At 37.6% G+C, this 24,458-nt stretch overlaps 1 protein-coding gene across 4 annotated transcripts in view, besides 1 other annotated feature; it reads left to right on the top strand.

Annotated features, from left to right (window-relative positions):
• The window catches only part of TRPM3 (transient receptor potential cation channel subfamily M member 3), a 917,912-nt gene that overhangs the window by 191,956 nt on the left and 701,498 nt on the right, over positions 1 to 24,458 (top strand). The gene's annotated exons all lie outside the window — the stretch shown is intronic.
• Positions 4,969 to 5,263: a silencer, noted in NCBI's record as "tiled region #9385; K562 Repressive DNase unmatched - State 12:CtcfO". NCBI's record gives its function as "represses a minimal TATA promoter and a strong SV40 promoter by Sharpr-MPRA in K562 cells {active_cell/tissue: K562}" and the evidence as "EXISTENCE:reporter gene assay evidence [ECO:0000049][PMID:27701403]".

Genomic DNA, 24,458 nt, shown 5'->3' with positions numbered 1-24,458 from the left:
CAGAAATAGGCAGAGTCCAAAACTGGATGTGGCTTTGCTAGAATCAAAGCTGTCTCTGAAAGAGGTAGGGGATTTCTTTTGATAATTGGAAAATTTCAGCCATTCTCATCTGGATGAAAGGTAAGAAGGGACCCTTTGTCTTCTTTCCTTTCATCTTCATTTTTTTTTATTCCACCTTCTTTCTTTTCTATCCTTGCCCTTACCACCTCTGTACTTTAGAGATTGCATTATGTTTGATCTTATCATGTACACATAAAGGTTATGCAAACTGTCTAAATATGTACAAGACCAATTTGTTAATGTGGTTTGGCATTCAAACTTTAATAAATACTGTTTTGGTAGATCAGAATATTTTGGATAAAACTGAAGTGATTTCTTTTTTAAAAAATCATTTAATTTTTAATTGACAATAATCATATATATTTATCATGTACATCATGTTTTAAAATATGTATACATTGTGGAATGGCTAATTTGAGCTAGTTAACATATGCATTACTCACATACTTATAACTTTCCATGGTGAAAGCACTTAAAATCTCTCAGCAATGTTCAAATATGTAATACGTTGTTGCCGACTAAGTCACCGTGTTGTACAGCAGATTTCCTGAACTTATATCTCCTGTCTAAATGAAATTTTATATTCTTTGACCAACATCTTCCCAACACAGCCTCTAGTAACAACTGTTCTACTCTTTTCGTCTATGAATTCAATGTTTTTAGATTCCATATATAAGTGAGATAATATGGTATTTACCTTTCTGCGCTTGGTTTATCTCACTTAAAATAATGTTATCCAGCCAGGCGCAGTGGCTCTTGCCTGTAATCCCAGCACTTTGGGAGCGTGAGGTGGGCGGATCACAAGGACAAGAGATCAAGACCATCCTGGCCAACATGGTGAAACACCGTCTCTACTAAAAATACAAAAATTAGCCGGGCATGGTGGCAGGCACCTGTAGTCCCAGCTACTCAGGAGGCTGAGGCAGGAGAATCATTTGAATCCAGGAGGTGGAGGTTGCAGTGAGCCAAGATCGCACCACTGCACTCCAGCCTGGTAACAGAGCAAGACTCCATCTCAATAATAATAATAATTTATCCACTTTCATATGTGTTGTCACAAATGACAGAATTTCCTTCTTTTTTGCGGTTGAATAGTATTCCATTGTGTACATATACTACATTTTCTTTACCAATTCATCCATTGATAGACACTTAGGCAGATTCCATATACTGGCTACTGTGAATATTGCTGCAAGGAACATGGGAGTGTAGACGTCTCTTTGACATACTGATTTCATTTCCTTTGGATATATACCCAATAGTGGGGTGTCTGGATCATATGGTAGTTCTATTTTTAATTTTTTTGAGGAACCTCTATACTATTTTCTGTAATGGCTGTACCAAAACAGTTTCTAGGAGGATAAATTTGGGGGCAACTGCTCCATTTTAATATGTGTGAAGAACAATTGAAACTTTAACCTAAAGCCAGATGTCTCAACCTTGGCACTATTGACATTTTTGGCTATGTAATGCTTATAAGTGGCTGTCCTGTGTGGTGTTATGATGGTTAGCAGCATTTCTAGCCTCTACCAACTAGATGACAGGAGTACACACGTGCCCACTTGCAACAACTAAAAATGTCTTTAAATATTGCCAAATGTCCCCCAGGAAAGCAAAATTCCCCTGATAGTTACTGACCTAAGCCATAATGCATGGTTTCTTCCTTACTATAAACATTTGTCTTTGAGTCAGTAGAACTTTTCAACTAGTGATGAATTTTTTTTCTTTACCCATCAAACATTTGTTGGACATCTTTCAATGAATCATCTGTGAGAAATGTGAAAATTAAGAAATTGCCCTCACTGACTTACATTTCAATAAGAAAGACAGACACATGGAACAAACCATTACTCTCTAGTTTCAAATGTAATTCTGTAAAGGTAAATCCATGGTTCTGTAGGAGCCAAAAGGATGTTGAATCAAATTTGGACAGAAAAACTCAGCCAAGTTCCATAATGAAAGAAATCTTGGCCATGCTTGGTGGCTCATGCCTGTAATCTCAGCACTTCAGGAGGCCAAAGCAGGCAGATTGCTTGACCTCAGGAGTTCAAGACCATCCTGGGCAACATTGAAAGACTGCACTTCTAAAAAAAAAAAAAAAAAAAAAAGAGACAAAATTAGCCAGGCGAGGTGTGCATGCCTGTGGTCCCAGCTACTTGGGAGGCTGAGGAGGGAGATTGACTTAAGCCCAAGGAGGCCGAGGCCGCAATGTGCCATGACTGCTCCACTGCACTCCAGCCTAGGTGACAGAATGAGACTCTGTCACAAAAAAGAAAGAAAAAGTCTTTCTATTATTTTTGAAAGTTCCATAGCAAATCTCCCCGTTATTTTGTGGGCTGTTTCTCCCATGGCTCCTCTTAGCTCCCTGAATGCAGGGCATTTTAGTCACTGAAACCTACTCCTAATAAAAATTGCATAATTTTATGAAGAAATAAGTTGGTCCTGGAAAGTGCCTTTCACAGCAGAATTCTGTGTTGATGGAGGAACTTGTTGGGACAGAGGCGGTTTGTATCATAAGCTGTCATTTTTAGAAAGGTGAACAAAGCAATGTCAATGTCTGATAAACGTGTCATGGCTTTAAAGGAAATGAACAGAACCCAGAATGTCCAATAACAGTCCACGAAAAACCACTGTGTTACCCTGATACGCTGTATCCACCTTGTCTGAAGGGCTGAGCAGCAGATTTTATGAGGAACCATACATGCTACCTCAATTGGCCATAATTAGAGAACCTAAAAAAAAAAAGTTAAATTGGTTTCAATCTAAATTTTCCTTTGGGGAAATTAGTATATCAGATATCTGCACTCCCATGTTTATTGCAGCACTATTCACAATAGCCAGGATTTGGATGCAATCTAAGTCTCCATCAACACATGAATGAATAAGGAAATGGAATACTATTCAGCCATAAAAAAGAATGAGATCTTATCATTGGCAACAACACGGATGGAACTGGAAGTGGTTATATTAAGTGAAATAAGCCAGGTACAGAAACACAAACATAAGTTCTTACTTATTTGTGGGAACTAAAAATCAAAACAATTAAACACACAGAGATAGAGAGTAGAAGGATGGTTACCAGAAGGTGGAGAGGATGGTGGGAGGGTGGGGGCAGGAGAAGATGGTTAATGGGTACAAAAAACAAAATAGAAATGAATAAGACCTATTATAGCACAACAGGGTGATTATAGCCAAATAATTTAATTGTATATTTTAAAATAACTAAAAGGGTATAATTGGATTGTTTGTAACAAAAAGGATAAATACTTGAGGGGATGAATAACCCATTTTCCATGTTGTGATTATTATACATTGCATGCCTGTATCAAAATATCTCATGTGCCCCATATATATACCTATGTACCCATGTTTAAAAACTAAAAATTAAAAAAATTCCTTTGGAGAAGTGAGTATTCTAATGTTAAAAGTTAAAATTCTGTGGTACAATGAATTAATATTAAACTATAATTTTTTTATTTAGTTAAATAAACATTTATGATAAAGCTCCCAAGAATGAAAGACAGCATTATGGGATTGCAAAAAAATGAGAGAAGATATAAGCATTTAGTCTTGTAGAGAAGATGAACTCAGAACAAAGTTAATTTATCAGAGGGTAAGATTAATGCTATGATAGGGGAGTTCACATGAGGAAGTGAAGAATTATAACTGGTGAATAAGGCAGTGTGAGCATTAATCTTTGTATTTTCTGATTTCCTGAGCACAAGAATGTATATCAGGAATACTTGCAGGTCAAAAAATGCCATCCACCAATATTAATGAAGCTGGTAGAAGTCTTGGGATATGGCTTCAGAAAATTGTTATCAAACTCATTTTTCTCTTAGAAAAACAATAAAAGGAAACTTTCTCTAAAAGTACAAGAATACTTATCTTCCCATCCATCCATTCATCCATCCATTTCTCTATCCATCTTCCAAAAAGCAGTTGAACTGATCTTTTTGGAACAAAGCAAATCATGTCACTCCTGTGACTATGTTTTCAGTGGCTTCCCACTGCTCTTAAACCGAAAATCAAACCCCCTCTCTTCCATTACCTACAACATTCTGCAATGACCTATCCTCTCCTACCTCTCTGGTCCCAGGTCATCTTACTCTCCCCTTTGTTCGTTGTCCTGTAGCTACTCTGCCTACCTCCCCTCCCCCAATGAATCTTAGGACCTTTGCATATGCACCTGCAATCCTGATCCCTCTGCTTCTGGCTCCTGCCCCCTGCCCTTCTTACTGCTGGCTCTTTCTCATGTTTCACATCAAAGGTTCAGTGTCATTTCCCTCGACCTTTGTTCACATCCTCCTTTATAATCCAAAGCGCTCCTTGAGACTAGGAATCCTTATCTATTTTGCTCATTAATGTCTCCCTGAACAAGGCATAAGAAATATATACTCAGTACATAGATTTCAAATGAGTAAACCAATACTTTTCTTGAGTGTGTGTCACCTACACTGGATTATAAGCTTAAGGACAGCAGTATGCCCATTTTGCTCACCATTGTATAACCAGTGCCTAAATCAGTGCCCAGTCCAACGAAGATGGTCCAAAAATAATTTTTGAAGATGTAAATAAATGAATTCATAAATAAAATGATTTATAAGATCTATTTTAGGTAAAAATAAAAAGCAAAATGAGAACAATAACAATAAAAACTTACGATCCCAACTTTAGGCTGCCAACAGATATGGGAAGGGAAGGTAAAAATTATAGCTTCAAGTTAAATACAGTTGTAAATAGCTATTCAATTTGAATTTATTATGAAAAAAAGTTCCCTAAAATTGTTTAAGCCAAATTCTAAATGTACTTCCCCTCCTATGTAGAATTGTGACTCCTATTTTATGATTCCTTATGAGTCTGTCATGTAAATGGTGTTTAAAGATTGTTAATGGAGTGTATTCTCTTAATGTCAATGAGGAGTTATCAAGCCTTAAATTAAGGACTGCATGAAAGACTAGTATTTCACATTGTACAGTTTTACCAGTCTAAAATGATTCTCACAATTGACCACCAGATGGTGATGTCTGGGAAAACCATCCCACGTGAAGAATTCTTTCTTCAGCCACTTGATGGCATCTCTCCGTTGTTTTCAAGATCTCCTGACCCATTCATCTTAATTCTTTTTGTGTTCCAGGTCTGCGTTGCTTTCTGTTCTGCAGTTCTTTCCTATCTCGTAGATTCCCACTATGATACCAGTCATGTGTAGGGTGTACTAAAGAGAAGGTCTTTGGGACATTCCTTTGAAAAATATTTGTTGTGAACATTTTTTAATTCTAATTGTTTTAGTTGTATTTTGCAGCAGAATAATTTTTTTCCCTTTTTATCTTTAAAGGAAACAGCTGTGTAGGCTTCTTTACATTTGTGAGAAAATATATATATCTCAAGGGACAAAAATACTGGTTAGCGTATTTGTGTGTGTATATGTGTGATGTTTTTAAGGCTTGATGATTAGCTTGCACAGTAGTGTTATGCTGCTGAACTATATTATGATTCCAAATAGGAACATTTAAGCTGTACTCTTTGTAGTAAAATAGACTATTTATACATCCTTTGCTTATGTAACTTCCTCTGATTTTTAAAAAATATTTATGATAAGAATATACAATCACATCAAAGCTCCAATGTAGAGTTTGGTTTTATAGTGTTTGCAGGTAAATGAACATTTTCAAATAAATATATTTTTCTTAAGGGCTAGTAATTTTTCTTCTGAATTTAGTTATATTCTCATTAACTTATTTGTTTTGGCCTTATGGAGAAGCCTTGGTTGGCATTTTATAAAACAAAGTTTTGGGTGACCATACTTTCAGGGATTACTTTCAGAGCATTTTAAAGATCCTCCAGATGAGTTTTGCTATTAACAGTCTGCAAATGAAATGAGCAAATTTTTTCAAGTGCTATTTTTAAGTCAGGAAGTATATTCCAGATGAAACACTTTTTTCATTGCCTGCTCTTTAAAAGCAAATCATAGATATCTTAAAGCTCATTAGAGATTTATCTGTTTTGAAATAAAACTGTTTTCCTCTTCTTCCTTCATGAAGATTTTTATCTGTATATCTTTAAGTGGCTTGTCGTTACGTTTTGAGCCATAAAGCTCACTTCTTTCAAAACCCCTGCTTCCACAAAACACAGAACTTTTATTTATGATCATGATGCTCAGGGAGGTTGACAATCATAAGTAGTTACGTACATGTGTAACAATAGTTGGACGTACATTATAACACACCAGGGCTCTGTTAAAAGTGTCTTGGCTGACTGGGAAGATCAAGCAGACAACAAGAGTAAGTTGTGAATAGCTGGAAAAGGGGACTTTATCTCTCCTCTGGCCACCTTAAATCAGTTAAGACAGGATTTGCAACAAATAACAAACCTCAACAAAATTAAAATATGAGGAAAAATATGTTCTCTCACCTAAAAAGAAGGACTGAGATATGATGGTTCCAAGTTGGTTAACGTAGAGTCTAAAAGATATCCTTTCTGTCTTCGCTTCCATCATCCCCAGTCTGTTAGCTTTGTCCCCTGGTGTGTTCCTTCATGGTCACCATGTGATTGTATATTTCTAGGAGTCACATTCAAATATCAGAATGTCCAGAGGAAGAAGAAACCACCTTACCATACCCAGAGGCCCTGCAGCCAACTCCCTCGGGTCTCATTGGCCAGAGTTGGTTGAACACTTCTGTCTAAACCAATCCATAGTGAAGGAATTTGATTTTTATGATTGCTTAGACTATTCAGTTTACTAAGTCACATAGTGGGAGAATTTTCCAAAGGAAAACATGTAAGAAGGGTGAATGGGTTTCAGACTGACAACCAGTAATTTCTGATGCCTTACGTTTCCAATTATTGGAGGTTTGGAAGAGCTTGAACAAGTTCAGTTATCAAAAGAGAGTGAGATGTACTTAAAATCTCAATCATTTCAATGTTCTTGGATTGAAGACCCTGAGAAGGACAGTCTATCAGCTTTTGACATTGTGCTGTCAGCCTAGCAAGGCTGGTCTTTTTTGTCTCCTCAAATATTTCACTATTACACCTATTTTAAGGCCTTCACTTTAGCTAGTAAAATAGATCATTTGTTATAAAATATAAATTTAAGTCTCTGGACCTCCTTGTTTTAAACCCTATTTCATGATTGTTGGATCTCATATTTCTGCCTGGGATGATAATTCTAGACCATCACTAATGACTAAGCAGCAGAAAGGAGTCTGATCTGGTATTCCAGTATCCCATTGCCCACGGGAGCTCTTCCCTTGCCCTGAGCTGATTACCTAGTATCACTGAGAAAATAAAAGTTCAGCTCATATGAATTTCATCAACTAATCTTCTCTTTGACATCTCTGAGTTCCTCCTCCTTCCCTTCTATTTCTGAGGATGGAATACCTCTTCTCCCTTCCAGTGCAAATTCCCCCCTGGTATTTTTTATTCCTTCCTCTCCTGACTCTTTTGAGCTTTGTCATCCAGTTTCTTCTCCCAAGTCACCTAGGCTAGGCACTTTGTACTGATTTTTGACCCTTTCCTTTACTCAGTATGCAATGACTTGCCAATTCCTATTGATTCACCCTCTCAACTATTATTATTGTTAATTTTTTTTTTTTTTTTTTTTTTGAGACAGAGTCTCACTCTATCACCCAGGCTGGAGTGCAGAGGCATGATCTCGGCTTACTGCAACCCCCACCTCCCAGGTTCAAGCGATTCTCCTGCCTCAATCTCCTGAGTAACTGGGATTACAAGCATGTGCCACCACGCCCAGCTAATTAATGTATTTTTAGTACAGACAGTATTTCACCATGTTGGTCAGGCTGGTCAGGTGGCTCAGGCCTGTAATCCCAGCACACTGGGAGGCTGAGGCAGGCAAATCACCTAAGGTTAGGAGTTCAAGACCCTCTCAGTTATCTTATCCCTCTCCACTGCCACTGTTGTCCTTTGCTAAAGTAATTTTAGACTTTTGGAGCTCAGTAGACTCTGTTCCCTGAATCTAGCACTTTAACAGTCTGGGGTTTGAAATAGTTTCCATTTTGCTAGTTTTTAGCTTTATTAAATATTCTGAGAGGTAACCTTTCAGTAATCTATATTTGCTTTGTGATACACTGGAATTACATGTACACACAAAACCTGAAGAGGCTAAAATGGTAGTAACTAACTACCAAGTACAGTGAAAGCACTAATTAAAGTGTCGTATAACTAAATCTTCCTGATATTAGGGTAGGTAAATTAGAACTGTGTGAATTTACAGAGGACAATTTTGAGATGGCAAAGTAAATCCTGTTATTATTCATATCCTAAAAGTAGGTTGATAAAATTGTATGCGAATGCCAGTTAATTTTGTGAAACGAGTTATTTGTATAAAGGGCTATTAAACAGGGCCAATTCAATTCTGGGTACTGTTTGTTAAAGCCATTGTTTGCTTTTCTTTTTCCTTTTAGTTAAAAGTCTCAATCCATTTTATATTATGGCCAGAACTGAAGGGCCTGGTGAAACATCTCATTTTCCGGAACCATGTGCTAAAATGTGTGAAGGGGACACACCTTAAATAATTTTATTGAGTTTGTGTAAAATGGTCTGTTGACTGTTCTACTCTTGATTTCATTGATTTTGTCCATTCACAAATCTAAAATGTGACCTGTCTTGTTTGGAGACTTGGCATACATGCCTTTTCTTTTCTAATTGTTTTCTAAAGTACAAATGATTTGAAAAAAATTTTTAAAATCACTTAAAAAGCCCTGGAGATGAACATAAAACATTCTTGTGAAACTATGATCTTGTTAGGACTAATATTTCCTTGAATTGCTTTTGTACCCATTATTGGATCCCATAAAGGGAAGGTTAGACCACCAAATAAGGAGTCAAACTGTGCAGCAGTCCACTTCCCAAACCCCCAATCCAAGTACCATTGTGTAATTTTAAAAGTTGTAAAACATGTAAAATTCCAATCATACTCCAATCCCTCCTTTCTTAACTAATGACCCTGGGTTTTGCTTCACTGACAAAATAAAAAAGCCATTCTCCTTTAACTTCATCAGATATCCTTATCTTTTCTTCTCTTTTATAAATCTCTCTTCTGTTCCTCCCCTCTTTGGGGCACTTGAGTCCTCCTGTTTTCCAATGTTAGCCACAAACTCTGTGTCTTTGACATCTGTTCCTGTCTCCTGAGCTTTTAAGCCACAATCCTTTAGTTATCCACATTCAAATCATGACACATTTAAATCACAATCAGCCCTTTTCCAAAGTCCCTTATCAAGTGGGCTTGTCTGTATCAAGCCATTCCTGTTCATTCAACTTCTCCACAGTTCTTCTATTTAGTTATTTCATTTCCACCACTACTGCCCTGGTTAAAGCCTATCCCACTTGTACGTCCTTACTACTAATTTATTCTTATAAATTCTCTCAGCTTAGTTCTTAAAACAATTGTAATTATGTTACACCTTGCTTCAAGAGCATTCATTCCTTCATTGCCGCTCTAAATATCTAAAGAAAGAAGTTCAGATGTCTCTTCACTGTATTTTTTTTTTTTTTTTGAAATGGAGTCTCGCTCTCTCACCCAGACTGGAGTGCAGTGGCGTGATCTTGGCTCACTGCAACTTCCGCCTCCTGGGTTCAAGCTATTCTCCTGTCTCAGCCTCCCAAGTAGCTGGGATAACAGGTGCATGCCACCACACCCGGCTAATTTTTTGTATTTCTAGTAGAGATGGGGTTTCGCCATGTTTGGGGTCTCAAATTCCTGACCTCAGGTGATCCACCCAACTTGGCCTCCCAAAGTGCTGGGATTACAGGCATGAGCTACCATACCCAGCCTCTTCTTTGTATTTATACTCCTCCTTGATCTGACACAAAACCACCTTTCTACATGTTTCTCCTAGAATAGTCTTTGATTTAGCCATCTTGGACTTGCCAATGCTGTGCCAAGCAGTGAAATTGTCATGATTGTCCTGTCTCCGTTCATGTTGTTCGAGCAACCCCAAATGTCCTCCCCACCAGCCTGTGCTGTTAAAGCCTATTTATCTTTCAAGTTCCATTTTGAATACCATCTGGATTCTGGCAACCCTCTTCCCCTAATCTATCACTAAGAATTAACCAGTCATTCTCTGTACTACTAAACTAAATTCCGTATAGTGCTATCAAATCCTTCACTTATCCTGCTTTTTATTGTAGCCTGTGGTTTATTTGCATTTTTCCCATTAGGTGGTATTTTCTTCCCACTTCCCTGCCCCAAGCACCTAGCAAAGCGCTTTACACATATCAGGAATTCAACATTTGCTGGAAAGAAATTGCCTGTTATCCAAATAGTCTGGCTTATGTTTGAATGGATCTTAATAATTTTATGAAATTTGGAATAAAAAGTAAAGTACAGTGTACAGCTTTCTAATGTCCAATGTACTGGTTGGTTCCCAATGGGTTTTTGATGTGTTTAGATACTGATTCCTTTATCCCTCAAGTCACCTCAAGGGTGACTTAGAGGATTTTCCCCAATATGTACCACAAATATTGTCATGTTTTGTGTTTCCCATGTTATGAAGAAGGTTGGCAGAGTGCTGAGAGTATGAGCACTGGAATCAGAATGGCTGCATTAGAAATCTGATGCTGCCACTCACTCATTTGAGGCTCAAATTATTGAGGCTCAGAGTGTGGAGTTAGTTTTATTTTTAGACTCAGGTCAAAGGGACCCCAGCTCCCGACCCCATGCTTTAGAAAGCTCTACTCTGGCCTCCCTCTGACCACCTCTTTTCTTATAAGATGAGGAGTTCATGCTGCTACGGGAATGTGCTTAACTGTTGCCTGTACCTCCCCTTTGAGGACAAGCCCTGGATTCCTGGGACCTTTTGTCTAAATGCCCTTGTTCCCACTTCTAGTATCTTCACGGGCCTCCTTCCACAGCTTGCCTTACTATACGTAGGCCACAGGCACAAACTGTTGTCTCGAGATGGCTGTTTGAAGTGATGTGCCTTAATCTAAGACATGTGAACTGGAGGTTCACAGCCTGTTCACCTGATGTCCCCTGCAGTGTGGGACAAAGAGAGGAATTCAAGAACTTAAAATCAAACATGATCTTATATGTTTCTATGGAGGTATATTTGACAAGGGTAAAGTCTGTATTTTAGAGTACGTATTTTATATAACAGCCCATTGGCTTTGTTTATAACTTTTGAATATTTAAACTTAAGATGTGTGCATCTTCCCTAGCCCCTGCATGTGTTATTAATGCTTTCTTCTCTTACACATTGACAGTGTAGGTTAATTAGGCTAATGTGATTACAGCACATTGCTGTTTAGTAAGTGATCAGTGAATATAAGGTCTTGCTAATAATAATAATTTATTCTTCTATTCATTTGTTTAAAATATATTTATTGAGTACTTACAATGCATAAGCATGATTTTACATAAAAAGACAGATAAGATTCCTGCTCTCATAAAGGTTACATCTCAGAGAGACAGACAGTAAAGACTTAAAGAAAAGGAAAAGTTGCAAGTAATACCAAAGGCAATACATAAAAATGAAATGATATGCCAGAGCCTGGCAGGGCAGCACCATGCAGTCAGGAAGACACTCTTCCAGGAGGTGACAGCTGCACAGCGGAGATGACAGCAGATGGAAGGAGCCTCTGTATGAAGGCAGGTAATAAGAGAATAGCAGGTGCAGGCTGGGTACCATGGCTCATGCCTGTAATCCCAGCACTTTGAGAGGCTGAGGTCAGGAGTTCAAGACCAGCCTGGCCAACATGGTGAAACCCAATCTTTACTAAAAATACAAAAATTAGCTGGGCGTAGTTGCGGGTGCCTGTAATCCTGGCTACTTGGGAGGCTGAGATAGGAGAATCACTTGAACCTGGGAGGCAGAGGTTGCAGTGAGCTGAGATCATGCCACTGTACTCTAGCCTGGGTAACAGAGCAAGACTCTCTGAAACAAACAAAACAAAACACAAAACAGGTGCAAAGTCTCTGGCTCTGGCTCTGGGGCACAGATGAGCTAAGCGGCACTGGGGACAGTGATTTCAATGTACCCCAGCTACACTGGTTTGGTATTAAATCGGGCAAACAGGGCAAAATGACTTATGTTTAACTGGATAAGCAGCATGCATTTTACTTTGAGGCAATGGGGAGTCCTTGGAAGGTTGTAAGCAGAGGCGTGATATAATCTAATTCACACTTTTAAAAGCTCAATTTGGCTAAAATATGGAGAATGGATGATGAAAGGTGATGAAGGCAGTCATGGATGATAAAAGGCCAAGAATAAAAGTAGGAAGATTAGGGAAAAGACTCTGACTAAAAGCCCAGGCAAGAAGTTGTGGCAATGATGATAGTAATGGTGGTAGTAATGGGAGTAGTACTAATAATATTTATAAAAGTAACATCAATATTAATATCAGGAATAATAGCCATAATAGTGATAGTAGTAAATAGACATCTTTCTCTGCCAAGTTCTAATTGAATACTATAGAATCCAGTTTTTAGGTAGCCAACTTGCGTTTTTGCATCAAAATCTAAATTCTTCCATTGGCATTTCATTCTGTTAACAGAAGTCAAGCCTAAATAAACAGATTGTTTTCACCATCTAATCCGGTCATGACCGAGACTTTTCAGAGTAGTGCCATGTAGTTATACAGAGTGTTCTGTGGGAAATTAGACATTTCCTCAGTTAACTGACTATTTCATGGACTCTGCCCCCTGTAGATCATGCCGTCATCTGCCAGTGAAGAAACCACATCTGCGCAGTTAGTGACCTAAGCTGGAGGTACTTTGATTTAATTGCGGCTTCTTGTCCGTGTCATAGGAATACATTGTGCATAGCCTGATACTTTGTCCTACTGAAGAACAATGGAAGCTTATGGCTAAAATACTGCTTTACCCATCTATCTGCTACAAAAACATTGTTTAAAACTATTGAGGGGCAGTGATTTCCCAAGTTAACACTTATGCAAATGTGTTTTTGTCTTAAAACCTCCTTCCAAAAGCAATAATATATCTCAGTCATTCTGATTCTCTGTGCCCACTGGCACAATGACCATTGCTGCTGGATATCTAATTAAATGAATGTCCCAAATAAAGTCACATGAGCTGTATTTTTGCCTAGGAATAATTAGAAGGGATATTAATTTGCACAAAGTCTACATTAGTCTATCTCTTAAACCTTTCATTGTAAAGTGGATCTGCATGTATCACTTAATGTATTTCTATGATTTTTTTTGCAGGATGAGTTTAGGTTTTATAGTATGTCAGATTAGTAAGCTTATGAAGCATTAATATGTTACGGAATAGAATTCTCATTTATTCTGTGAAGAATGTTACATGGTTGCAGATTTCAGAATTTTTTTTTAAATTATACTTTAAGTTTTAGGGTACATGTGCACAACATGCAGGTTAGTTACATACGTATACATGTGCCATATTGGTGTGCTGCACCCATCAACTCGTCATTTAACATTAGGTATATCTCCTAATGCTATCCCTCCCCCCTCCCCCCACCCCACGGCAGGCCCCGGTGTGTGATGTTCCCCTTCCGGTGTCCATGTGTTCTCATTGTTCAATTCCCACCTATGAGTGAGAACATGCGATGTTTGGTTTTTTGTCCTTGCGATAGTTTGCTGAGAATGATGGTTAATTGAACCAACTGAATTTTTGGCTAGATTCAGTTAAGAAAGGCCAGGACCATAGTGAAAGGAGCTACGAAGTGCATAAGCCAGAAAAGCTTAGGCAGCTTTGCCAGTCTTTACCACCAGAGAAGATTTTAAATTCAGAGGTGTGAAACAGGAAAACTGGTGAGTGTGCGATTACCTGAGGTTCAAGGTCTGTTTGGAGGATGTTGCACTTAGACGAACTATTAGATTTGTGCTATTAGCTTTAAATCCTACAAAGAAGTGAAAATTTTAAGTTATTTTTCTTTACTTGCTTTTCTGTTGGAAGCCAACTAACTGAGAGCATTTTAAAAGCTTTTTATGTATTTGGAACAAAAAGAATGGTTTTTAAAGGAACATAATGTTCGTAAGAGTTGTAGTGATTGACTAATAATATAAAGCACAATCTACATAGTAGGAAATTTTTAACATAAAAAATTTGGTATCCTACAAGGAGCCAAAAGAGTTCAATTAAAATTTTATCCCTGGCATGACCTAGATACTACTCTATGAATTCCTTTTAGCAGACTAATCCTAGGATGGGTAGAGTGCAGACTCCTGTTTTCTTTTGTTTTGGTTTTCTCCCTGAATATGGTTATCCTTCTCTCTTGCAACCTCTCTCCGTGAATCTAACTCACCACTAAAAATATTTTTATAAAAGTCTTAAAATAACTTTTTTTACAAATTGCTATCTTTGTTCCAACAAGAGAAGATATATTTGTTGCTATTTTAAACGATTCTGGCTATTTGATGCAAACATTTAAAGTTGTATTGACACTTTCATGGACTATTTGTATCAGAGTTAATATAGACTTGGATAAAATATATCAAACTAATGAGCAAAGCTATTTGGTAATAATAATGTATCCTGTTGCTAATAGTCATGGTTAGAGTTATAATACATTTATTCTTTAACTCACTCAAGACAACACTTGTTTATTGCTTACTCTAGTAAATGGAACACCAGGGATAAAAAGATGAACACAGCATAATTCTTGCCCTCCAGGAACTTGTAATCTAGCTAATCTCTCTTCTAATGGTCATTTTGAAGATTATCACAATAACTTAACATTTCCCTAACAATCAAAATAATTATTCAATGTTAAAATAAAAAATTGTTTTAATTTACAACATATGCTTTAAAGAATCTGGCATGGGTGCAAAAACTGGTACATATAAATCTCATCTAGTTCCAGAGGAAAAGAAACTACATTTATGTAATAAATTTCAAGATGCACTAAATTATCCCTCTCAGCTATATTTAGATGCCATAGGTTCTCTTTAGTTAATCCTTGACAAAAGAACGAAACCTTTCAAGCGAATAAATTCTTAGGTTGCAAATGTTGTGAATAAATTCCACAGGCTGCCCTAATTAATTCCATTTTCTAATGAAATTCCTTTTTTTCAACAAAGACCTAAATAGGCAGTCTTTGAAAATTCCAATTCATGAGGCTCTAGGGTAGTGATATAAATTAGTTTCAATGTCCAACTTTTATATTTGGTACACTTAAGTACTTGGAGTCAATAACTTACATGAAAGCATGTTTTCCGCATTCCTATTTAATTTCCCTTTTTTAAGACAAAAAAGAAAGCCCATTTAATAAGTTACTAATTCTAAGAAGCACATATTGTAGTACTTTTCTAAGGAATAATACTACAATTTAAATGGTATATTGCATTTTCTATTGAGTTATGTTCTGAGTTTACATCACATGAAACAGGCAAATATTTTCTGTAAGGTACTCCCTGTTTTGGCTCATGACTTTTGAGGTAAAAAGGTGGTTTTGTTTTAAATGTCTGCTAATACTTTTAGTGAAGTTTATTATTTTCAAAATATTCTTTAATGATTAAAAAACTACTCGGATCATTGTGTGTATTACTTGGAGCAGGCAGAGAGAGTTATAATTTCACCCGTTAGAGTTAGAGAATGATGTGTAGAGAAGGAAGCCAGACTTAATTTTTGAAAATAATGTATATTTTCCTATAGAATATTGAACTATAGTGGATGTAATTTAATATTTTTAAGAATTCGGAAGTGCCCTAAAGTATTTAAATTGCAGGAACTATGAGTTTTGAAGTGTTTACCTGTGAGAAACTTTTCAAAACACAGCAAAAATTGTACTAGTAAACTTGTTCTTCTATTTTGGCTTGGGAAATTATATCACTAAAAATGTATTAATGTTGCTAAATTTCACTGCATGAAATATTAAATGTTCCGCATTGGATTTGTGGTACCAGAGTTTTAAAATGCTGTTTTTTTTTGTTTGTTTGTTTTTTTCCTTCTTCAAGGGAAGGAGGTAGGGAAGGTGATCTCAAGAACAAGAGATGCATTTGATCTGACACAGTCATGTGCACCTTTGGAATATTTCAGTCTGAGATATGTATTTTGGTGACAGCAGGTAGAGTTGGAAGAGTACTATGTCAAGAATATTAATACCTCTTAGGACAAGGGTTGGCGATTTTTCAAAAGTATTATCCAAAACTAACATGAGTATTCTTGAGGTGTACTAGGGAGAGAGAAAGCTCAAATGCCTTCCACAGGTGAAGGGTAGATGGTTGCTTGTATGATGTGATTTAAATAGCACCAAGAAATCCCCCTTACCCTTAAATGTATTCATAAGTTTTCTTGACAACCTTCACATGGCCTGAATGCTTAAAGTTCTAGCAGTTACAAATGCATTACAATGATAAGACCTTGTTAACAAGTAAATGGCCTTTGAAGGATAAAGATGCATCACATCAAATTTTATATTGATAATATTTCATCATAAACATTCCAGGAAGACTGTTTCCTTAGTCCGTAGATACTGATGAAGAAAAAAGTTCATTTTGGAGCAGTGGGAGCTTGAGAAGAACTGCAACCTGAGAGATAAGGAAGAGGGCTGGCCAAAATTAACTGAGGGCTCCCTAAAATAAAGTAGGGGGGCACCATAGCCTGGCTCCACTCTGAACTTCTTTCCCTGTGGGTGAATTGATAACTTATCTGACATCAGTGTGTGTATCACTTGGAGTAGGCAGAGAGAGTTACAATTTCACCTGAGTTAGAGAATGATGTGTAGGGAAGGAAGCCAGACTTAATCTTTGAAAAATCAAGCATCACCTCTGACAGGCCTTATTCATGATCTATGTGAGATGGAATAAAAGTAGATTTACTGAGAAGAAAATGGATGTCCTAATAATTTAATAATGCTGCGTTTTTTCATAGAAAAAAAACTACTTTTTAGAAATGCAGAAGAGGTGTTACTTTGATTTGAAAAAAAAGTTGAATTTCAGCCAATTCTTCATTGTAGTGAACAATCAGAAGTTTGACAGATACACGCTGTACCCTCTGCCGTAGTTAGAATGTGTCCCCTCCAAAATTCAGGTGTTGCCAATGCAATAGTATTAAGATGTAGGGCCTTTATGAAGGAATGAGGACTATGAGGGAATCTTCCTAATTAACAGGATTAAGGCCCTTATAAAAGAGGCTTCATGCAGCATTTAGCTAGCTTGCCCTTCTGTTTTCTGTCACGTAAGGTAGCAGCAAGAAGGCCCTCACTAGACCAAATGCCAGTGCCTCGATCTTGGACATCTCAGCCTCCAGAACTATGAGAAATAAATTTCTATTCTTCATAAATTTCCCAGTTCAGATATTCTGTTACAGCGGCACAAAACAGACTGAGACACTCTCTAAGGAGAAATATGAAGCTGAAAATCTGCCAAGCACTTTTTAGAAGTGTTTTGATATTTCTGCTTGGGAGAGTAATAATTATATTGAAAATGGTATCAAAACTTTAAAAAAATTAAATCCTGTCAGCAGTACTCAGGACTTAAATGAAATTCATTTTCCAGACCATCTAATAAATGATAAGTAGAAAATGTGGGTTTTCTGTTGCTATCCACACCCTTTTTTCCCCTCAGCCACCTTGTAGGAAAATAAAGCAGGTTTCTGAAACAAGGTGCCTGGATAAAGAGACTATTTAAAATCCCAAGAAGGGAATATTTCTAATGGATATGATGTAGGAAAATGTTGAGGTCATATTGGTCATACTTTAGAACTGTGTTCATAGTATCATCATTTCATTCAGAAAAAAAACAATGTTTGATTTAAGATTATCATATTAAGTCTCTGATCAAAATTTTGAATTATCAAAACAACACAGCTTGATTATACCTGTATCTTGTACATATCAGCACAGCACCAAACTATACCTGCCTTTATTTTAGCAGATAATTTTCCTTTTCTTCTTTTCCTTTTCCTTTCCCCTTTCCCCATCCCCCTTCCCTTTCCTTTCTTTTTTTCCCCCCCCCTTTTTTTTTTTTTTTTGATGGAGTCTTGCTCTATCGCCCAGGCTGGAGTACAGTGGTGCGATTTCGGCTCACTGCAGCCTCCGCCTCCCAGGTTCAAGCGATTCTTATGCCTCAGCCTCCCAAGTAGCTGGGATTACAGGCACCCACCATCACGACTGGCTAATTTTTGTGTTTTTAGTAGAGACAGTGTTTCGCCATGTTGGCCAGGCTAGCCTCGAACTCCTGACCTCAGGTTATCTGCCCACTTCTGCCTCCCAAAGTGCTGGGATTACAGGCGTGAGCCACTGCACCCAGCTTGTTTTATTTTTCATATACCTACATATGTGTCCTGCATATGTATAGGTTTAAAAGCACATGCCTACATTTATCTTAGCAGATGTATTTATTGAAGGGAGTGGTGCATAATTTCTTTCAGTTTGGACAGTAAACAGAGGTGTATCTTATCTCTTATGACCTGAAGTGTGATCATTCATTCCCAGAGGATTCTCTGGAGGTTTGGGGAACAGCAGCTGAGGAGGTATGCATAGTAAAGTACCTTTCTTTTGATTCCTATTAAGTGAAATAAGACTATATACTTACCATTGCTTTTCCTAAACTTTTCCTGCTACTACTTTTTATTTCCTTCTGCAAATGTGGGGCGGGTAGAGGGTGGTGTGGGGAGAAAGGAGGGGAGAAGAGGGAAGAGGAAGAGGAGATGGAAATTATAAGATTTTAGAATTAAAAGAAACAGTATAGAGTGTAGATTGAAAAATCACACCTTAATTTACTGATAAGAAAACTAATGTCCAGAGAATTTAAATGACTTACCACAATCCATACATGGGGAAAGTTGTGGATCTAACACTAGAAATCAGGAGCTCTAAATTTCAGCCAAAAGGCATTTCCACAACACACAATAGACAACACATTTGAGAATGGAGACAGTTAATTTACGTATCCCTGGCAGTGGTTTTTGTAGGTTATGCCTGTTAACTTATTATATGACATTGGTAGACCATAGAAAATTGTGGAGCTACTGAAACTTTTGTTACCACCATAGGTACAAATTATTCTACAGGCCCACAATTTGCCTTTCAGGTAAGAAATTAATGTACAACAAATAAAGTAAGTTATGAAGCATTTTGTAAGCTCGATCCTAGGCATATGTAGTATCTCATGAGAATAAAGAATTATTTTCTACCATCATGGATAGCTTGGGATAATACAGAAGCAATATGCATCAACAGAGAGCCCTTTGCAAGTCTAGAAACTGGAGATTTTCAATATTGAGAATTTCTGGGAAACATCCAGATTGGCACCCATTTGTGTGTTTGACTTTGCAGTATTGCAGATGTAATATCTGAGTCTCAGAGTCCCACATCTAAAGAAAACAAACACTTACTGCCAATTTCCAATTTAATTAAAGCAATTTACTGAAATTATATCACCAAAGCTAAAAATGTATCCTATTAGTGATCAGAAACTCTGGAAGATATAGCTCATAAAACATAGACACTATCTTAATTGTTATCTGTTCCATCTGTCAGACTGCCCAGATTAACCTAATTGATATAGTCATTTGTTCATTTATTCAATAAATAAATATATTGATTACCCAGTATGTACTAGGCACTGGGGATACATAGTGAACAGGAGAAAGTCTCCATGATCATGGGCCTCATGGTCTAGTGTGGGAGACAGACAATAAAGCGTAAAAAATGCATAATACAGTTTCAAATAGTGACATATGCAATGTTGACAAATCAGGGTAAACTTCTGGAGAATAACTGGGGAGGATGAGAAAGATTGTAACAGAGTGTGTGGTCAAGGAAGGCCTCTCTGAAGAGGAGCCATTTATGGAGCAGAGTCCTGAATAGGTGAGTTAGTCAGCTGCAATATAGCAGAAGAACAATGCAAAGAACAGCATTAGCAAAGGCCCTGCAGGGCGCCAAGCCTGGCACATTAGAGGTGCAGCAAAGAGGCTAGAATGGAGCCAGCAGGTGGAGTGGCATGGTTGGCGCATAGGTTGGCGCTGTCATCAGGACCCAGATCACAGAGGGAGAACTGCTGTTCATGAGAAGGAATTTGACGTTAGTACTTACCTTCTCAGAACTTGTCCTATGAAGCCTATGTAGGATAGATAAGAAATGGTTATTTGCACACTATTTGTTAAAAGGTACATGGAATTCCTGAGTACACAGTGTGAATGTTTTATTTTACAAGACCAAGAACAGAGAACACCTGTAGTAAAGAAGGTGATGGATAACAGGATATTATGACTGAATTGTATCTCCCAAAGTGTGCACACTCCTCCAAATTTACATGTTGAAGTCCTAATCTTCACTACCTCAGAATGTGACTGTAGTAGGAGTTAGGGGTTTAAAGAGGTAATAAAGTTAAAATGAAGACATTAAGGTGGGTGTAACTGGTGTTCTTATAAGAAGAAGAGATTAGGATACAGAAACACAGAGGAAAGACCTTGTGAAGACGCCGAGAGAAGACCATTTACAAGTCAAGGAGAGAGGCTTCAGAAGCAACCAATGCTGCCAACACCTTGATTTTACACTTCTAGCCTCCAGAATTGTGAGGAAAACAATTTCTGTTGTTACAGTCATCCAATCTGTGGTAGTTTATTATGGCAGCACTAGCATACTAATACATATGGGTCATCAGAATTTCATAGTTGGGGTTGTCAGCTCCTAAGATGGCCTCCAATGATCCCTGCCACCTTGTAGGCCCACCCTTGTGTGATTCCCTCCCATACTGAATTGAGCTGACCTGTGTAACCAAAAGAAAATGGTAGTGACTTCCAAGGCTAAGATATGTAACACTCAATGGATCACTTGCTCTGGAGAAACCAACTGCCATGTTGTAAGGACGTGAATGCAGCTCTATATAGAGGGTTGCATGGCAAGGAACTGAGACCTCCTGACAGTCAGGCACGTGAATGAGTAACTAGGAGTAGGCACTGTCCCTCTGCGAATATCTTGACTGCAACCTCATTAGCGATCTTAAGCCAGAACCACACAGCCAAACTGCTCCCAAATTCCTGGCCCATAGGGATTGTTAAATAATAAATGTATATTGTTATTGTAAACTACTAAGTCTGGGAACAATTTGTTACATAGAAATAGGTAAGTAATATAATAATTAAGGAAGGGACCTCAGCAAAATAGTTCCAGTCCTTCTGGTGAATTTGAAAGTAGGTCAACCGGATTTTATTCAGTCTGATTAAAGGAAAGACTTTTGAGCTTCACTGCAGAGAGAAATCTCAAGCCTGGAATGACATTTTAAAGACTTAACTGAATTTTTGGCTATTGGGGCTTTGAAAATTTGGCTTCTTGCAAGCTCTAGAAGTCTTTCTAATGCTAATAATAACACCTACAATTTATTTAACTATGATTTCAAACACATTTTCACATAAATGTTCTCATTTAATGTAGAAGATTGCAGTTTTTCCTGCAGTTTCCTAGGATTCGTGTGGTTATTTTTCTAAAGTCATCAAGGCTGTTCCCCACAGAATATTGTATAAGATAATGATTTTTTTGTTTTTATGGTGCAGATGATTTCTTTGCAAAATAATATAAGATTTTCTCACATCTTAATATGGCTTTTAAGTTTGCATACAATACCTATACCAAGAATTGAGCAATTAAAGATAACTGTATATAATTTTTTAAAGCAGATTTTGACTGGAATATGAATATTTGCTACTGAAACTTTACCTTAATTTTTGAATCGTAATTTGGAGACAAGTGAGTTGTCTGTTGGCTACAAGTGATTGTTACAGCTTTAAAAATAATGAAGCATGGAGTCTTTAACATAAATCTGTGATTCTCCTTTTGAATTTTAAAGGAGGGAAAATGATTCATTTGATTTGAAAAGGACATTATTTCTTATCCTTATTGGGTTTATTAGTGCAATTGTCTCATGTGATCTTAGGACAATGTTTTATTGTTGGACAGTAAGGCAGGACAGTAAAATGAAGACCCTGGTTTGCCCTTTTTCTAGCTACATATGGCACTTTCAGATGTCAAACCCTAGCAGAAGTCGGGGGCTTGAAGCAGGTCTCTCCTGGATGAAGGCTGATGACAGAGCAGGTATAAAGCTGTTCATAAAAGAAAGATGATCCCTGGATTACCCAGTGAAGCAGTGTGAAAACGGGGACTGGAATGTTAGCTCAGTATAGCACCAGTGCAGAAGGCAGCAGGGTGTATGGAGAAGAGATAGAAACTTAAGTGTGAACCAGTAAGGGAGAAGGATACAAGTTACAGAATGAATACTGGTCAGGTGTGATGGCTCACTCCTGTAATCCTAGCACTTTGGGAGGCCGAGGCGGCAGATCACGAGGTCTGGAGTTCAAGACCAGCCTGGCCAACATGGTGAAACCCCATTTCTGTTAAAAATACAAAAATTAGCTGGGTGTGGTGGCATGCACCTGTAGTCCCAGCTACTTGCGAGGCTGAGGCAGGAGAATTGCTTGAACCTGGGAGGCGGAGGTTGCAGTGAGTGGAGATCGTGCCACCGCACTCCAGCCTCGGCGACAGAGCAAGACCCTGTCTCAAAAAAAAAAAAAAAAAAAAAAAAAAAGACACTGAATTCAATTTCCATGTGCGTTAGAGTATGCATCAGGGAGTGAGCAGAGCAAGGAAAATCAACACACAATTTTTATAGTGAATAGATCAGAAATTAGATGGTAGATCATTGATAGCATGTGTCTTGGAATCATATCGGCTTCAGTTTAACTTCTGGTTTTATAATTTACTAATTAATAGTGTGGCCTTGGCAGGTTTTTAAGATGGTGTGATAAGGTTCCTAGCACAGATCAGACTAACTTGAGGTAGTTACAAACAATGCTTGTGCCAGCCCATTGCTAGATTGGAAGCTCAGATTCCCTCTAGTTGCTATATCCTTTTCTTTCTTAGAACCTGCCCATTTGATATCAACATCTTCATAAAAGTCTGCTCTCCAAAGCTAGCCATCATTTTTAACTTGTAAAAGATGGTAGTTTATAACTAGAAGGCATCTTTAATGTTTTGGAAGAAACATAAGGTCTTTGGAGTACTTTGAGTTCACCTCCTTAAAGGGACTAATATAAACGTGACATTTAAATAACCTGATTTTTAAATCTTTTATTCAAGTAGAAATGTGTGTGTTTTCGACTTTTAGGTTCAAGGGTTTCATGTTCAGGTTTATTATACATCACTGAGGTTTGGCATATGAATGATCGCATCACTCAGGCAGTGAGCGTAGTACCTGGTGGGTAGTTTTTTAACCCAAACCCGCTTACCATCCTCCCCACTCTAGTAGTCCCAGTGTCTATTGTTGCCATGTTAATGTCCGTGTTGACCCAGTGTTTATCTCCTACTTATAAGTGAGAACATGCAGTATTTAGTTTTCTGTTGCTATGTTAATTTACTTAGGATAATGGCCTCCAGCTGCATCATGTTGCTGCAAAGGGGAAACATTTGTATGTGTCATGTATGTTTAACAGTTTCATATTGCTGCTGTAACAAATGGCCACCAATTCAGTGGCTCAAAAAAAGAGCACAGATCTGTTCTCTCAGAATTCTGGAGGTCAAAAGTCTTCAAGTAGGTCAGCAGGGCTACATTTCTTTGAAGGCTCTATGGAAGAACTCATATATTTTCATGTTCTAGCTTCAAGAAGCCACCAGTATTCTTGGTGTGGTTCCATATTCAAAAACAGTGATGTAGCATCCTCCAGTCTCCCTCTCTCTCTCTTTTACCCTTTGCTTCCATTGTCCACATGTCTTTGACTCAGATTCTCTTACTTCTCTCTTACAAGGCAGTTCTTATAAGACTCTCATATTGAATTGGGCCACCCAGATAATCTAGCATAATCTCCCCACCTCAAGATCCTTCATTTACAGTCAACCGTAAAGTCCTTTTTGCCATTTAAATTAATAAATGGGCTGTGGGGATTAGGATATGACTATCTTTGAGGGGATCATAATTCAGCCTACATCAGTATGTATATTGTGTGTATATTGTATGTCAAAGTAGCTTGATATATTCCATGGAAGAACATTACTTTATTCCTTTATTTAGCTAGGAAAAACTGGTTAAATTGTGGTTCTGAAACCTAGTATAAATAGTAATATTTCCTTTCTGCTTTCCTTTCCTGTGATATGAGAAATTTGCCTTTAAGATATGAAAGATAGACAGCCCAGAAGCCAAAACAGGAATATTTACTTAGAAACACAGAGCTTGGACTCTACAGAACAGCATTTGCAACACTGAAGTCTTGTAAGCTTGACTGTAGCCTTAGGTGCTCTTCAGTTCGTGGCCAATTTAGAATCTCATTGTCATGGAGCCTGTGCAGATCAGATCCTAACTTAAAGTAAAAGCATGAGCAACCTAAATCAAGTCTACTTTGCAAGTGTAGAATTTGGGGCAGAAATTGTTCTGCTGCAGAGTTGGCCTACAAGCACTTCTTGAACTTTAATTTTTAATTTTGTGGGTACACAGTAGGCATATATATTAATGGGGTATAGGGATATTCA

This window comes from Homo sapiens, chromosome 9, assembly GCF_000001405.40.
Source record: "Homo sapiens chromosome 9, GRCh38.p14 Primary Assembly".
Classification (NCBI taxonomy): Eukaryota; Metazoa; Chordata; class Mammalia; order Primates; family Hominidae; genus Homo; species Homo sapiens.
Note: the sequence above shows the minus strand (reverse complement) of the source record. Positions and strands in the feature narration are given on the sequence as shown.